Below are 16,573 nucleotides of genomic sequence, written 5' to 3'. Positions count from 1 at the left end.
GTCAAAGAAAAAGAGTCATTAGTTTCTGAAGGGCACTAATAGGCCAAGTAAAGGAACTTGGATTTTATCCTAAGGGTAATACGGTAGGAAGCCACTGGTGTCCAAATGTCACTACCCCCTCTCTAATGATAACACCCGTTTCTTCCTCTTTTGACTTTTATCTTTTACTTTTTTTTTTTTTTTGAGATGGAGTCTTGCTCTATTGCCCAGGCTGGAGTGCAGTGGCTCAATCTCGGCTCACTGCAACCTCCACCTCCTGGGTTCAAGTGATTCTCCTGCCTCAGCCTCCTGAGTAGCTGGGATTATAGGCGTGTGCCACCACTCCCAGCTAATTTTTGTATTTTTAGTAGAGATGTGGTTTCACCATGTTGGTCAGACTGGTCTTGAACTCCTGATCTCGTGATCTGCCTGCCTCGGCCTCCCAAAGTGCTGGGATTATAGGCGTGAGCCACCGCGCCTGGTTATCTTTTACTATTTGAAATTATTTATTTATAGTTTGTCTCCCCTACTAGATCATAAGCTTCAAGGAGCCAGGGACCTTATCTTACTTATTGCCGAATTCCTAGCTGTGAAATGGTGCCTGGTGCTTTGTTGACACTCAATAAATACTGACTGAATGAATGAATAAACAAATGTATTTCTCATTTAGGAAAACTTGATTAATTAATGAGTTATTCCCTTGCTGGAACTACTTTATATTAATTCATAAATTGACTTTTTGCTATCCAGTTCATCAACATGAAGATAATTTTGGCCTTTTAATCTTCAGAATTATTTTGGTGTCTCCTCTTCTGTATATGGCTATGGGCAGTATTTACAGGCTGTATATGTTATTCACATAATCAGGTATCAGTTATATTGCCAGAACATGATACAATTGATTGAGACACTTACTTATCATGGCATTGTTTATATTAGTGAAAATAGCAGCCAGGTGCAGTGGCTCATGCCTGTAATCCCAGCACTTTGGGAGGCCAAAGCAGGCTGATCACTTGAGGCCAGGAGTTCAAGATCAGCCTGGCCAACAGGGTGAAACCCCATCTCTACTAAAATTACAAAAAATTACCCAGACATGGTGCCCTGCACCTCTAGTTTCAGCTACTCGGGAGGCTAAGGCAGGAGAATCACTTGAATTCAGAAAGTGAAGGTTGCAGTGAGCTGAGATCGTGCCACTGCACTCCAGCCTGGGCGACAGAGCAAGACTGTCTCAAAACAAAACAAAAATAGTGAAAATATCTGACAATGGGGGAATAAATTAATGGAACATCATACTATGAAATACTGTGTAAGCTTTAGAAGTCATGTTTTAAAAAACGATTTAACAACATGAAAAAGTGCTTTTAATATTAAGTGAAAAAAATGGGATGCACAACTGAATATAGAGTTTAATTTCAAGTTTTGTAATGTTTGGAAGGAAATATTCCAAAATATTAAATAGATATTTATTTCATTAATTTTGTCTGGTTTATATTTTCCGAATTTTATACCAGGAGTATGCTTCTGTAATTAGGGAAAAAGTTACGATGTTGCCTTGCCAGCCATTATTAAGCAAGCCAAGAGTTCTGTTTGAAGTTAATGTGACTAAATCTTAGGCACCAACTTCTGTATCCAACTTCAGTTGGACAATTTTTTTTTTTTCAGTAAAAACTCTTTCTCTTTTTTTTTTTTTGAAATGGAGTCTCGCTCAGTTGCCCAGGCTGGAGTGCAGTGGTGCGATCTTGGCTCACTGCAACCTCCGCCTCCCGGGTTCACGCCACTCTCCTGCCTCAGCCTCCTGAGTAGCTGGGACTACAGGCGCCCGCCACCACACCCGGCTAATTTTTTTGTACTTTTAGTAGAGACGGGGTTTTACCATGTTAGCCAGATGGTCTCGATCTCCTGACCTCGTGAACCGCCCGCCTCGGCCTCCCAAAATGCTGGGACTACAGGCGTGAGCTACCGCTCCCGGCCTTTCAGTAAAAATTCTTTATTCATTCCTTCATCACGTGACAGTTGGCCTTGAGTACTTACAAAGACAGCAGTTCCTGCCTCTCAGAAATCTAAGCAGACATTCCAGAGCTCACAGATCAGTGCCCCACCAACTGCTACCTGGAAGCTTCAGGGAGATGGGGAGCCTGGAGGAGGGGATGCTGCAGGAACCCCCTGGCACGCAGTGGGGCTGGGCTTCGAAGGCATCCAGGACTGAATTCGAGGTGGCAGGGGGCAAGCAGGCAGGCAGCGTGACGGTCATGAGGTGCGGGGTGAGGGCAGGAAGCCCACAGCATTCCTGACTTGGGGTCAGGGGAGACAGATTGGAGGGGCCCGAGATGAAGCCAGAGCTTACAGAGAGGCTGTAAGCCAGCACTCAGCTTCCCGGGAGACCCCAACCACTGCCGGGTCCAGAGTGCCCTGGGAGAATGTCAGGTACCCAGATGTTTCAGTGGAAGATTCCTTTTTCAAACATTAGCTGGTTCTTTGGATTTTTAATTATAAACATAGTACATGATCAAGGTTAAACCATTTTCCAAGCATCACATAAGGATGGGAAGTAATTCTATCCCGCTCTAGACCTTCCAGATTGGCTCCAGAAGGCAGCTGCTGTCAGTGATTTTCCTTACAGACCATTGCAGCCACCTACCTTGCGCCATGGTCCCGAGACAGCATGGCGTCTTCCCCCACACGGACCTGCAGGTGGCCTCTTAGGAGCTTTCTCGCTGAAGGAGGTCATCCCTCTTAGTCACATCTGAGCAGCACTCACTTAGGCCTCGGCCCCGAGGGTCATGCGGGGGCACCTGGCCGGGTTCCCGGCTCTGTCTGGTCTGGCATCTGTCTGCCTTTGGGCTACCTTTTCGGCACAGCTCCCTGGGCCTGTGGCTGCTACAAGCTGGACTCCAGCTCCCCTGGGCTGCAGTGCTGCTCGCAGTGGTCCAGAAAAGAGGCTGGGCACAGCGGCTCCTGGCTCAGCAGCATCCTTGGCGCAGGCTGGCCCAGGAGCTCCGTGCAGGGTGCTGCCAGTTGACCCAGCCCCGGCTGCACTCAATGTCCGAGAACCGGGCTGGCTGGGGGGCCTCTTTGACGGAGCTTTACTCCAAGTCTTGCTGAATTTCCTGAGGAAAAGCACTGATGTTCTCATGGACACAAGGGAGGCAGAATCTCTTGAAGTAGAATAAACTGCACTCCTTTCCAGTCTTCCTTTCTCAGCTTCTCCTGGACCGCCAGCTCCTCCATGCGCCTCAGACACTCCCAACGCCGCACTGCGGGGGTTCCTCCCGCCCTGGCCCATCTCATCCCCCTTGGCTGTTGATACAGCTCCCCTGTGTGCATGTCGCCCTGTGGCAGATGCTCAGGGACTTCTCAGACTCCAGGATCACTCCGAGTACACTGGCCACACAGCCTGCTGCACAAACTGCAGCGCCAGCTAAGGACCAGGAATCTGACATTGTCGGAGGTGAAGGGATCCTTTGTGACATAGCTTTCCTCCAGGAGGACCATCCACTGGGTGTCGGGGGAGCTTCTGCCCCAAGTAGCAGGAGGGAGCTGTCAAGGCGTGGAGTTCACACTCAAACACTCCCAGAGGACGGCACTCTGCATGGGACGCCATCCAGCTCCTTTGACTGTGGAATCAAGTACATTATCAGCTGGCCCCTGGCTCCTGGCTGTGACCTCCCTTCGCTTGAACTGAGCCTTGTGTGTAAGGGCGTATCAAGTTGTATGGGCTTCGCCGCTGGGTGACCCCAAATGCAACTCCAGGAAGCATGGGTTACCAATGACTTTAAGGTTAACGATCAGCTGGGCGCGGTGGCTGACGCCTGTAATCCCAGCACTTTGGGAGGTCGAGGCGAATGGATCACGAGGTCAGGAGTTCAAGACCAGCCTGGCCAACATGGTGAAACCCCCATCTCTACTAAAAATACAAAAATTAGCCGGGCGTGGTGGCGGGCGCCTGTAGTCCCAGCTACTCAAGAGGCTGAGGCAGGAGAATCGCGTGAACTCGGGAGGCGGAGCTTGCAGTGAGCTGAGATCTCGCCGCTGCACTCCAGCCTGGGCGGCAGAGCGAGACTCCGTCTCAAAAAAAAAAAAAAGTTACGATCCGATCGCGGGTGTGCGTGAACCTGACCCTGCTTCTCTTCTGAACACCGGGGCGTCCTAGGCCCCTGCCGAGGCTCCTGGGGGCGGTGCCTGTGAGCAGGGACCGCTGAGCGGGTCCGGGGGCGCCAGTGGTCCCCGCGAGCCTCCGCGCGCCCTCCCTCGCCCCAGAGCCGTCTGAGGTCGGGGGAACCGTCCCCCGAGGCCGACACGCCGCTCCTCCATCCGGTCCCCAAAGCCGAGAGCGGTCGCGCCGACCCTTGGCGCTCGGAGCACAGCAGGCCACGCCGGCGCGGAACTCAGTCCCGGCGAGCGGGAGGTGCCCTGAGGCTGCGCGGGGCCGGCCCACAGCGCGCTCGCCCCCGCCAGGCCGCCGCCGCCCATGATTCTTTACTGAAAGCGGCATAATGCGGCTGCTTGAAAGCTATACTCTGAAAAATACTGTTACTTTTGACATCATTGAGGGATGGATTTTAGCAGAAGTCCGGACCTCTTTTTGCTTGGTACTTTAATATTAAAGATGAGAATTAAAATAAAGTTTATTATAAAAATAAATACATTATTTATTGCTATTGTGTGCTGGGTGAAGCTAGGCCAGATAAGCGCCGGGGTCGTAAAATAGTTGACCTTGTTTGTGTCAAGAGGCTTACAAATTAGTTTTCCCACATGACACAAATAAATATAAAATACCAAACCTTCTATTAGAAAGTGTGAATTATACATAAGAAACCATCGATTATATGATACATGTGAGAGGAGTTGTGCATAGTTAGCAAGAGAAGAGCTCTTCATTGACTGGTGTTTGGTATTTCTGTCCCAGAGCAGCAGCATATGGCAGTGGAATAGCATAGACTTTTTTTTTTTTTTTTTTTTTTTTGAGACAGTTTCGCTCTTGTTGCCCAGGCTGGAGTGCAATGGCGCGATCTCGGCTCACCGCAACTCCGCCTCCGGGGTTCAAGCGATCCTCCTGCCTCAGCCTCCCGAGTAGCTGGGATTACAGGCATGCGCCACCACGCCTGGCTAATTTTGTCTTTTTTAGTAGAGACGGGGTTTCTCCATGTTGGTCAGGCTGGTCTCGAACTCCCGGACCTCAGATGATCCACCTGCCTCGGCCTCCCAAAGAGCTGGGATTACAGGCATGAGCCACCACGCTTGGCAGCATAGACCTTTTAATACATAGGTTGAAGTATTTATCACAGAGACAGATAGGAAATTTTTTTCTAAAAAAAATACATTTTTAGATCAATATTTGACTTAAGTTAAAAAATTATTATATTAATTGATGCTCTTTTTTTCTTTCAGGCTTATCAAAGTTTTGGCTTTGTTGCAAGAGCAGGTCAAGATTTAGCTGTTCTTCAGTGAACAAGTGTGCAGATTGTCAAATATGTCAGTTCATCAAATAAGAAAACATGCAGTTCTCCCACCTATCATTTGTAGAAGTGACAAGGAATTTTTGGAAAGTGTGCAAAGATACATAATTACAGAAACTGAAAGACTGGGCTGTAGTGAGGAAGGACCTGCTGATGAATATTACATCATATACCGAAATGTTTTTGATAAGGTATCATAAAGCTTTTAAGACAATTAAGTTTTCATGAGGATAGCAATGATCTATGTTGACAACCAATATTCCTGCCTTAGTAACACCACTGTTTGAATGATAACATTCCATTTGCTGATTTTGAGAAGTTCATCCAATTTCTCAGAAAGGCATGAATGGGAAAAATGCAATTCTGGATTTGTATTTCCTGACTGTGAATGAGTGTTTCAGTTATTTTAGCTTGAGAGCAGATTATAAGTTTCCTTTATATATTTTTTAAAGAGAGAGTCTCACTGTATCACCCAGGCTGGAGTGCAGTGGCACACTCATATCTCACTGCAGCCTCAAACTCCTGGGTTCAAGTTATCCTCTTGCCTCAGCCTCCTGTATAGCTGGGACTACAGACTTGTGCCACCACTCCTGACTAATTTTTAAAATTTTTTGTAGAGACAAGGTCTCTGTGTTGCCTAGGCTGGTCTTGCACTCCTGGCCTCAAGCAATCCTCCTATCTTGGCCTCCCAAAGTGCTGGGATTACAAGCATGAACTACCAGTGCCTAGCCCAGACTATCAGTTTTTGATCAACTACCTGGCTGTATGTACCCTCTGATAATAATTTTCACCTTTTCATCTAAAAGTATCATCTGATTTGTTAGGAATTGGGCTGCAAGCAGAAACATGATACTTCCTTGTTATTTTGAGTTTGTTTGTGGTATCATTAAAATCTTGGTTTAGATTTGATCTAACATTAAATTGAGGTTCCTTGTAGATTGGAGTTCTATCTAGAATTATCTAGTCATGGTTTACAAGGAATTAGACTGGAATTAATATTGGAAATAGGGAGATCAGCTTAGAAAATGCTCTGACTTTGTGGAACATATTTGATTTTGCTTTTTACGGTTTTAGAAATACCTATTATCCTTCTAAACAATTGCAGTTTGCCCACCAATCCTAATTTATTTATGCAGCTTTTTTTTTCCACCCCATCCCCGGAAGATGCCTTGACAGTGAAATAAGTGAAATCAGCATCTTTCCTCTTTGCCACAGGAAGTACTTACCTTAAGGCTTCAGTAAACTGTTGGTCTCTGAGAAAACAGTCACAGGCAAAATAGAAACTCAGTCTTTTAATTTTTAAACATTACACACTATGACTCTTATTTCTCCTCTAAATAAAAACCTAGTGCCTCACTCTAAGAGAAAGTGAGGTTCAGATAGTGATATATACCTACCAGTAGAATAAGGAAAGTTGATACGTATTCATAGGAGTATAAAATAGAGAAACAGGGTCTTTCCTTCTTTTTATATCATACAGAAAATCTATCCTTTAGAAGTGGTACATTGGCAGGTTAGCTTCATTTTATATGCTGTTAGGATCAATGATATTGCTCTTGGTGTTTTAGTTATTAAGGAATGCATTGAATGAATGTTTAAATAAAGGTAAGGTATTGAATAGGTTTTATAAATATCAAGAGTCATGCTGCGACTCTACTGTGTGAAATTAGCAAAGGAAAGTCATAACTGTAACATGTTTATCTTTGCATGCCCAAGTGTTAACACTTGTCAGAATTTTTCTTACATGAAGAGCTCTCTGCTTTACATTAATATAGTTATAGTGAAGTCATTTTGGAGGTATTGTTGGTAAATTTAATTCCTAGAGAAAACATATGGTGTTAAATAGAAAATAATATTGACATATATGGTCCCTGTTTCTTTTCTCCTGGTGAGGAGAAAAGATTTCTGTTTGTACTATTTGCACATTGCATAATTGTAAATTTTACCTTGTAAAGAATTCTGTTCTTCAGGACTGAGAGGGGATCTAGAAATGGAAATCATTTGGTACTTTGAGAAACTTTTCTTCTAGCTTCTTGATAACATAATTTACCTTCTTCATTTTCACATTATTTTAGCACATTTGATTGTTAATGAACTATTAATGACTGTCTTCTTTGCTCTTCCTACCCTCTTAAAAGGAACTAGTTGGGCAGAAGATAAAAGTGTCAGCTTGCATCTCTGGGTATTTGGAACTAGGGAACAAATACCAAATTGTGTTTAAAATCAAAGATAGATGGTTTGACCTGGAGAATCATACCTGAATCAAAGCAAGGAGGACTTGAAACTCATACCAAGAGTTGGGGGTGGACTGTAGGGTGAGTGAAAAACCTAGTAAGCAGAGAAGACCAAAGCTTGGAAGAATGAACTTTTTTAGAAATGGATGACTTACTGGGCTAGGTGTAGTAGCTCATGTCTGTAATCCTAGAACTTTGGGAGGATTGGTAGGAGCATCGCTTGAGGCCAGGAGTTTGAGACCATCCTGGGCAACATAGCAACACTCTGTCTCTACCAAAAAAGAAAAGGTGGGCAGGGATATGGAGGTAGCTGGACTCTGTAAAGTTGCTGACCTTTTGTGTTCCTGTAGCATATTGTACAAATAGTTCAGATCCATATGGAGGAGCTGAGGTGGAATGGAAACCATTCCTCTTCTTCCTTAGACCCCTGTACCTGGTAAATATAGCTATGGTTATTTTCTTGGATTTAGTAGCAGCCTTAATGCTGGGGTCTCAAACTTAAATGCCTGCAGAGGCCACCAAGGTAATATAAAAGAGTTAAGTGGGCTGACTATAAGAGAATAAGGAATGGTGGGGATTGTGGTAAAATGAAAAACCACAATAAATAAATAAATAAATAAAACCATGAATAAATAAACCAGTAAAGGAGATTGTAATCGAAAGCTCCAGCTATTATTGCCATTAAGGAATAGGGATTCCATGTAGGTAGATTTTTCAGAGTTTGTAAGAGAAGCTGAAAATGTGATTTTGGGTTAAAATTCCCTAAATTTTAAAATATTTTGTTGGTTAAGCAAAATTGCCAGCTGAATTCAACCTGTGATATGCCAGTTTGCATATTTCTACTTTAGTGTATTTTCTGTGCATTCTTAAAGGTTCCCATGAGTGCTCTTCTGAAATCTGTTTTTTCTAACAAACAGACTTGGGAGCTGATCATGATACCACTACATATTTATTACCTACTCATTAATATATCTGAGTTGTCTTGGATTGTTGGAGCATATCAGAGGAGTTCATGAAGTAGATGGCCAGGAGCAACAGGGTACTTAATTTGGAAAGCCGCAGATTGATGACCTCTATTTTATTAAGGATTCTTGATTTGGGTGGATAGGTAGTAAGGTCATGTCTAAAAGACCACAAGTATCACCCACTCAAATATCCTCTCCTGGCACTTGCCAGGAGATCAATAATCTCCTTATATCATTTGCTCATAGACCAGATGCCTTCCTAGATAATTTTTTCTAGATATTGCCTAGGTAAAGAAAGCCAGTGGGGGATACCAGAGGCTAGAGATGTAGCAGGAATAGAAAGCATAATTGCAGCTTTCTGAGAAAATTAGGAATTGAGCCTGTCTATTCTCTGTATTCTTCAATCCCTCTGAAATCCTCATGTGCAGAATTTAGAAACCATACATTATTTATAACTTTTCTATTTTTATTTTTTGACTTATTTAAAAATGTTTATTTTTGCATGGGTAATGCATATATAAGATTAACAAAAAATAAATGAATAAATAAACCAGTAAAGGAGATTGTACAATGGAAAGTCTGGACCTTCTCATCTCAGATTCTACTTCTCCTGTCCTTCTCTGCAGGCACCCACCGTTTCTGTTTTCTTCTGTTATCCTTCCAGAGATTTTCTATGCCTAAACACCATTTGAAGCCATGAATGTATAGTGATGAGGGGTTTTTTACAGTTGCACATGACTGGGAATAGAAATGCAATTAGATATTGAGAATATTGATGAGCCAATAGGAGCTGATGGGTTAGAAAAATAAGGAGGTGAAGAGAATCCAGGATTTTAAGGTTTAAGTGAAGTTAGAGACTAGATTTGGAGCGAGTAAGAGAAGATACAGAATTCTATTTAAAAGATTCAGAACTGGGAAAATTAGAACTAGCATTAGTTTTAACTGAAATCATATAATGCATGTGTTCATACCAAGTAGAACAAAAATGGCCTTTTTTTCTCTCATATTTAAACTCCACATTATCTACTGTAATGTTCCACAAAGAGCACATGTTTAGTAAATATTGCCTTTAGTGTCCAATTATGTTTGAGCTTGCTGTAGAGTTTAGATTTCTAATTGCTAATCATGTTTCATTTTTAAAATAATCTATAATGTTATTTGCAAGAATTTCAATCCATAGCCTCCTAGAAAAAAAATCAATACCATAGGCAGAAAAATAATATTTCAGGTAATAGAGCATATCACTGCATACAAATCCATTCTTACTTCAATCAAAAAAGAATATGATGCCTTTATTGAGACAATAAAGAAAGACCGAAGAACTACATTTTGTCTTCATGGAAAACTTAAAGGTTTGGCAGCAGAGCCTACAGCTTTGGTATATTACAGGAAAAGAACAATCCAACTTGAAGCAAAGTAAGTATTTTAGTAACTAGCCCAAAAGATGGTAGTTGTTGCTTGATTATAATAACTAGCCAGTGTAACTCTAGCTGGTGGTTCTTAGTCTTATTGAATTTCAATTTTATTTAAATGATGCATTTTTATGTTACCTTCTCCTAGTAACTTGAAGTTACTGTATTGTTTACTTACTTCAATTAAAAAATATTACTTTTGTTTGAGAACGTTTATAGTACCTCTTAGTATATATATATATATATATATATATATATATATTTTTTTTTTTTTTTTTTTTTTTTTTTTTTGAGACAGGGTTTCACTCTTGTTGCCCAGGCTGGAGTGCAATGGCGCAATCTTGGCTCGCTGCAACCTCTGCCTCCTGGTCTCAAGCAGTTGTCTTGCCTCAGCCTCCTGAATAGCTGGGACTACAGGTGCATGCCACCATGCCCAGCTAATTTTTTTTTTTAATATTAAAAATAGAGATGGGGTCTCACTATGTTGCCCAGGCTGGTCTCGAATTGCTGAGCTCAAGCAGTCCTCCTGCCTCAGCCTCCCAAAGTGCTAAGATTAAAGGTGTGAACCACTGTGCTGGCCAAAAAGGCAAGAGTGGGCAGTTATAGTCTTTTTGTTTGTTTGAAGCAGGGCTTGCTCTGTTGCCCAGGCTGGAGTACAGTAGCTTGATCTTGGCCCACTGCCACCTCTGCCTCCCAGGTACAAGTGATCCTCCCACCTCAGCCTCCCAAGTAGCTGGGGCTACAGGCACAAGCTACCACGCCTGGCTAATTTTTGTATTTTTTTGTAGAGATGGAGTTTTGCTATGTCAGACTAATTTTTGTATTTTCTGTAGAGACTGGGGTCTCACCATGTTACCCAGGCTGGTCTCCAACTTGTGAGCTCAAGCGATCTGCATGCCCCAGCCTCCCAAAGCGCTGGGATTACAGGCATGAGCCACCACTCCTGGCCCTCTTAGTATAATTGAAAGCACATTTTGTATCATAAAATGAGGGTCCGCACAGGGTGGCTCACACCTGTAATCCCAGCACTTTGGGAGGCCAAGGTAGGAGGATTGCTTGAGGCCAGGAGTTTGAAATCAGCCTGGGCAATATAGTGAGTCCCTGTCGTTACAAAAAAGTTTAAAAAAAAATTAGCTGGGTGTGGTCCCAGTTGCTTGGAAGGCTGAGGTGGAAGGATTGGTTGAGCTTGAGAGATGGATACAAATGAGCCATGATTGCGCCACTGCACTCCAGCCTGGGTGACAGAGCGAGACGCCATCTCAAGAAAAAAAAAAGGAATAAAATAAAATAAATAAGGGATGCAGGTAATTGCTCCAGGTAATTTCCTCCATGGAAGATTTAATAGTACAATTTCATGATTACTATCTGAATTAGAGCACTTAATCCTGTTATTCACAAAGGTAAGTAACCTACTGGGAGAGGATAAGATGCTCAATCTTGTTAAGTAGTCTTATATTTTCAGTGTTACATTTGGTCACTGATGGATAAATTATTTTTATAGATAATTTTCTTTTTTTTTTTTTGAGACGGAGTTTCGCTCTTTTTCAGGTCGGAGTGCAATGGTGTGATCTTGGCTCATGGCTCAGTGCAACCTCCGTCTCCCAGATTCAACCGATTCTCCTGCCTGAACATCCCAAGTAGCTGGGATTAACAGGCTCTTGCCACCATGCCCGGCTAATTTTTTTTTTTTTTTTTTTTTTTTAGTAGAGATGGGGTTTCACCACGTTGGCCAGGCTGGTCTCGAACTCCTGACCTCAGGTGATCCGCCCGCCTCGGCCTCCCAAAGTGCTGGAATTACAGGCATGAGCCACCGTGCCCGGCCTTTTACAGATAATTTTAAGTCAACTTGGAAACTATGCAAAGTTTGACCTCCATTTCTGGTAATATGGCTGGCTAGATGTTGAGATAGACCTTCCTACTGGGGAAAAATACTACCTAATACATTTTTTCAAAAATCTTCCGAAAAGCATCAGAAAGTCAAAATCAGGGCAAAATCTAACAGAAGACAAAAGATAAGTGGAGCACTAAAACTGCTTTGGACCCGAGAACATTTTTTTAAAAGCTAGTGACCATAATTTTCAGTTTTTACTACGGCATGCAGAATAAAAAGCACAGCCCAAGATCGCTCCACCTGGTATAGTCTATTGGGAAACACTCACCATATAAAGCTAGGATGCTAAAAGGCTATCATCATAGGGTGAACCAGAGGTAAACTGCTCCACCCCTGGGACCGCAAGGAAAATTGCCCTTTACTCAGCTGATCATTGATGGGTATGCAGTTTATCTGGGGCCAACGAAATGTTCTGGAATTAAATAGTGGTTGTGGTTGCACAACTATACTAAAATTCCTTGAACTATATATACAAGGATGATTCTTGAAGTATGTGAACTATATCTCAATGAAGCTATTATAAAAAGATGGAAGGCAGAGTGGGAAGGTCATATTGTTATGTCTAATCACAGCTCTACAATGAAGAGAATATGGGACAAAGACAATATTTGAAGAAATAACAGCTGAGAGTTTTCTCTATTCTGTTAGATTTTGCCCTGATTTTGACTTTCTGATGCTTTTGGAAAGATTTTTTAAAAATATATTCTGTAGTACTTTTCTTCAGTAGGAAGGTCCATCTCAACATCTGGCCAGTCATATTGCCAGAAATGGAGGTCAAACTTTGCATAGTTTTCCAAGTTGAGTTAAAATTCTCTATGAAAATAATTTATCTATCATTTACCAAATGTAATACTGAAAATATGTGAAAGATACTGATTCACAGATTCAACAAACCCAAAGAATCCCAAGCATCATAAATACGAAGAAATACTCAACTAGATTCATCTCAGTGAAGTTGTCAAAAATAGAGATCATAAAATTAGCATAGAAAGCAGCAAAAATTAGATACTTTCTCGTCCATGTGGTAATGTATTAGAACTTAATTCCTTTTTATGGCTGAATAATACTCCATTGTATGTATATACTACATTTTGTTTATCCATTCATCTGTTTTTTGGACACTTGGATTGTTTCCATTTTTGGCTATGTGAATAATGCCACTCTGAAAATTCATATACAAGTATCTGCTTTCAGTTTCTTTTGAAAACCTGCTTATTTTTGACATATCTTTTGTTTATAAGCACAAATCTATTTAGAATAAAGCCAGTGGATATTTTATTTCCACAATCCTTTCATAAATACTGTAAGCTCTTACTCTGAGCCATCAATAGTTACCAAGAGCACTATATAATAATCAGAAGCAGCAGCCAGCAGTTATCTACTGACAAACTCGTTTTTTATTTTATTTTATTTTTTGAGACGGAATCTTGCCCTGTCTTCCAGGCTGGAGTGCAATGGCATGATCTTGGCTCACCGCAACCTCTGCCTCCCGGGCTCAAATTATTCTCCTGCCTCAGCCTTCCGAGTGGCTGGGATTACAGGTGCCCACCACCACACCCAGCTAATTTTTGTATTCTTAGTAGAGATGGGGTTTCACCATGTTGGTCAGGCTGGTCTCAAACTCCTGACCTCGTGATCTGCCCTCCTTGGCCTCCCACAGTGCTGGGATTACAGGCATGAGCCACCGCGCCCAGCCCAAACTTGTTTTTAATTTGCCAAAAACCCTGTGACATTTATGTATTGACAAAAATTCTCTTCCTGATCAAATTTTACTCAGGCTCTCCTGAACCCTTTTCAACTAGGCCTGACTTTTGGACTTCCACATTCATCTCTGCACCATTCAGTTTTAGCAAGAATCCTGTGAAGCAAGTTTAGCCAGAACCCCCCATCCATGACATGTGATCCCCCAACCATCCTCCAGGTGATGCCTAGTTACTGTGACCTGCCTTCAACTAGAATCCTCTTAGGTCAATTTATCCAGAATCTCTCCTCACATCTGATGTTTTCTTTTAGTAATTTGTCATCCACTGACCCCACCCTGCTCCTTAGCTACCACTTCCCACTTGCCCATGTCATATTCAGATTGAGTCCAATCATTCTCCATTGTAGTGGTTCCTATAGCTATTGGCATGGCCCCTCTTGAAAAAAGTCTTCCTTACTATGCTTTAACAAGTGTCAAAAATAATTTTTCTGTGTGTATTTTAATATGTTATTTCTCCCTTGGGCCAACATAACTAGGAAGAAAACTTCAAATAATGCTTAAGAGAAGTTTATACTACCTTTTGGTCTTTAAAATTTTCATTTCTGGATAAACTTAGTTTTATCTCAGGGAAGTGCTGTCCTTCCTCTAGCTCTAGGATCAAAATTACTGTAGTAGGCTCAATAAAGTTTTTCAAAGACATCAGGTCCTAGTCTCTAGAACCCCTAAATGTTAACCGTATTTGGAAAAAGGGTCTTTGCAGATGTGATTAAAGATTTTGAGATAGGGAGGTTATAAAAGTAAGCCCTAAATATGATCATAAATGTCCTAATAAGAGGGAAACAGGAGCTTTGCCATAGGCAGAGGAGAAGGCAGTATGACCATAGAGGCAGAGACTGAAGTGATGAAGTCAGAATGCCTGCAGCCCCAAGGCTGGAAAAGGCAAGGAACAGATTCTGAAGGAAGCACGGCTCTGCCAACACTTTGATTTTGGTCCGGTGATACTGATTTTGAATTTCTGGCTTCCAGAATTGTAAGAGAATAAATTTCTGTTGTTTGTAGTCACCAGGTTAGTGGTAATTTATTACAGTTGCCACAGGAAACTAATATAATTACTTACCAAAATATTTTTTAAATTACAAAAGTAATTTTCTACTAAAGAGAATAGTTTGTGGCCATATTATTGTGATTAGCACTTAACGAATTTCCAATAGGGTTCAGAATCATAGTATGAGATTTTATTGATGCTCAGAAAGAAAATTCTTCCTCATTTGTGAGGCTAGATAACTTTTTCAGGGCATTTCACCTAGTCCATAATGGTTCAAAATAAAGTAATGATTTAACCTGTTTGACTTTAGGTTTTGTGGTTCAAGAATTAAGTTAGTTGAAAGACATAAGAAAGCCTTTCTGTTTTCCAGAATGAGGATTATCGAAAGTAATTCCTCGAAGATTCAATCTCAAATAGATCACATCAAGCAGTGTAGGGCAGAGTATGACACAAAAGAAGTAAAATATTGTACTTTCTCCAAAGATCCTTCAAAACCTATTCCAGGTATTGTATTTTGTTTAAAATATTTGAGAGAAATCCTGATTATTTCCAATTTTTACCTAAGGCATGCATTAATATAAATGTGCTGATGTATGTGCATCTTGCACATGTGTGTGTGTTGTACACATAATTTTAGTCAGGACTGTAGGTAGATTCAAGGGAATGGAAAAACGAACTCTAAAAGATTGAGTTTCAGTCAGCTGGGTTATATAAAGTGTAATGCAGTGGCTCCTGAAGTATGGTTTCCTGTATCAACATCAGCATCACCTAAAGACCTCTTAGAAATGCAAATTCCTGATTCCCATCAGATCAGAGACTTAACTGTGTCAGAAACTCAGTGGGTGGAGTTCAGCAGTGTCTTAACAAGACCTTCAGGTTTTTCTTTTCTTTTCTTTTTTGAGACCTAGTCTCTCTCCGTCACCCAGGCTGGGTGTGCAGTGGTGTGATCTCGGCCCACAGCAACCTCCCTCTCCAGGGTTTAAGCGATTCTCGTGCCTTGGCCTCCCAAGTAGCTGGGATTACAGGCGCGTGCCACTGTGCCCAGATAATTTTTGTGTTTTTAGTGGAGATGAGGTTTCATCATGTTGTCCACGCTGGTCTCAAACTCCTGGGCTCAAGCGATCCACCCGCCTCAGCCTCCCAGAGTGCTGGGATTAAAGGCATGAGCCACTGTGCCCAGCCGCTTCAGGTTTTTTTGATGCACTCTAAAGTTTGAGAACGACTGGTATAATATAAGGAAAACTGTAGTGTATTAAGTTTTGGTGGATATTGTTGATTCATGTTGATGTCAGCATTCACTGCTTCCACATCTTCAGCATAATACTGTTACCACATTTTAAGAAATTGTAGTATATCCTGGAATTCATCTAGGATATGGAGAGGTTTTTACGATGAGTGGATAGAGGAATTACAGATATTCATCCTGGAAAAAAGAAAGACTTTGAGAAAAGATAATGGTATTCCAAACTTTTAAAGATTTTGGCTAGTGTTTATTCTGAGGCAGGATTAATAGGTAGAAATTTTAGGAAGCCAGATTTGGTCTTGGTGGAAGAAGCTGTGTGTTGAAGTAATGAGCTACTCTATACTAAAGGATTTCAAATGAGGTTGAATAATCATCTTGTGTTTCATAAAAGTAGGGACTAGATTCACTTTCTTTTTTTTTTTTTTTTTTTTGGAGACATAGTCTCGCTCTGTCACCCAGGCTGTAGTGCAGTGGCCTGATCTTGGCTCACTGCAAGCTCCGCCTCCTGGGTTCACACCATTCTCTTGCCTCAGCCTCCTGAGTAGCTGGGACTACAGGCGCCTGCCACCACGCCCGGCTAATTTTTTTGTATTTTTAGGAGAGACGGGGTTTCACCGTGTTAGCCATGATGGTCTTGATCTCCTGA

General features: G+C 41.9%; 1 protein-coding gene and 1 pseudogene across 17 annotated transcripts in view, besides 1 other annotated feature; one reads left to right on the top strand and one right to left on the bottom strand.

The window, feature by feature from the left end:
- CLHC1 (clathrin heavy chain linker domain containing 1) overlaps nucleotides 1–16,573 on the top strand; it is a 60,017-nt gene that overhangs the window by 4,703 nt on the left and 38,741 nt on the right. For 6 of the 17 annotated variants that reach the window (NR_148541.2, NR_148540.2, NM_001353784.2 and 3 more), the window contains 2 exons: nucleotides 9,261–10,050; nucleotides 15,055–15,188. The exons of 2 other annotated variants lie outside the window; for them this stretch is intronic. Coding sequence is in view for 11 of the 15 variants with exons in the window: in NM_001353784.2 (NP_001340713.1) it covers nucleotides 15,056–15,188 (133 nt within the window). In the remaining 4 variants the exon portion in view is untranslated. Of the gene's footprint in view, nucleotides 1–5,367; nucleotides 5,627–9,260; nucleotides 10,051–15,054; nucleotides 15,189–16,573 lie in introns of all 17 variants that reach the window. 9 more of the 17 variants (NM_001353780.2, NM_152385.4, NM_001353782.2 and 6 more) reach the window with 7 other exon arrangements.
- CDPF1P1 (CDPF1 pseudogene 1) lies at nucleotides 3,020–3,164 on the bottom strand (annotated as a pseudogene).
- Nucleotides 4,083–4,462: a silencer, noted in NCBI's record as "silent region_11496". NCBI's record gives its function as "represses an Ori minimal core promoter by ATAC-STARR-seq in GM12878 lymphoblastoid cells {active_cell/tissue: GM12878}" and the evidence as "EXISTENCE:reporter gene assay evidence [ECO:0000049][PMID:35858748]".

This window comes from Homo sapiens, chromosome 2, assembly GCF_000001405.40.
Source record: "Homo sapiens chromosome 2, GRCh38.p14 Primary Assembly".
NCBI classification, from domain to species: domain Eukaryota; kingdom Metazoa; phylum Chordata; class Mammalia; order Primates; family Hominidae; genus Homo; species Homo sapiens.
The sequence above is the reverse complement of the archived record's forward strand: the minus strand, read 5'-3'. Positions and strand labels throughout refer to the sequence as shown.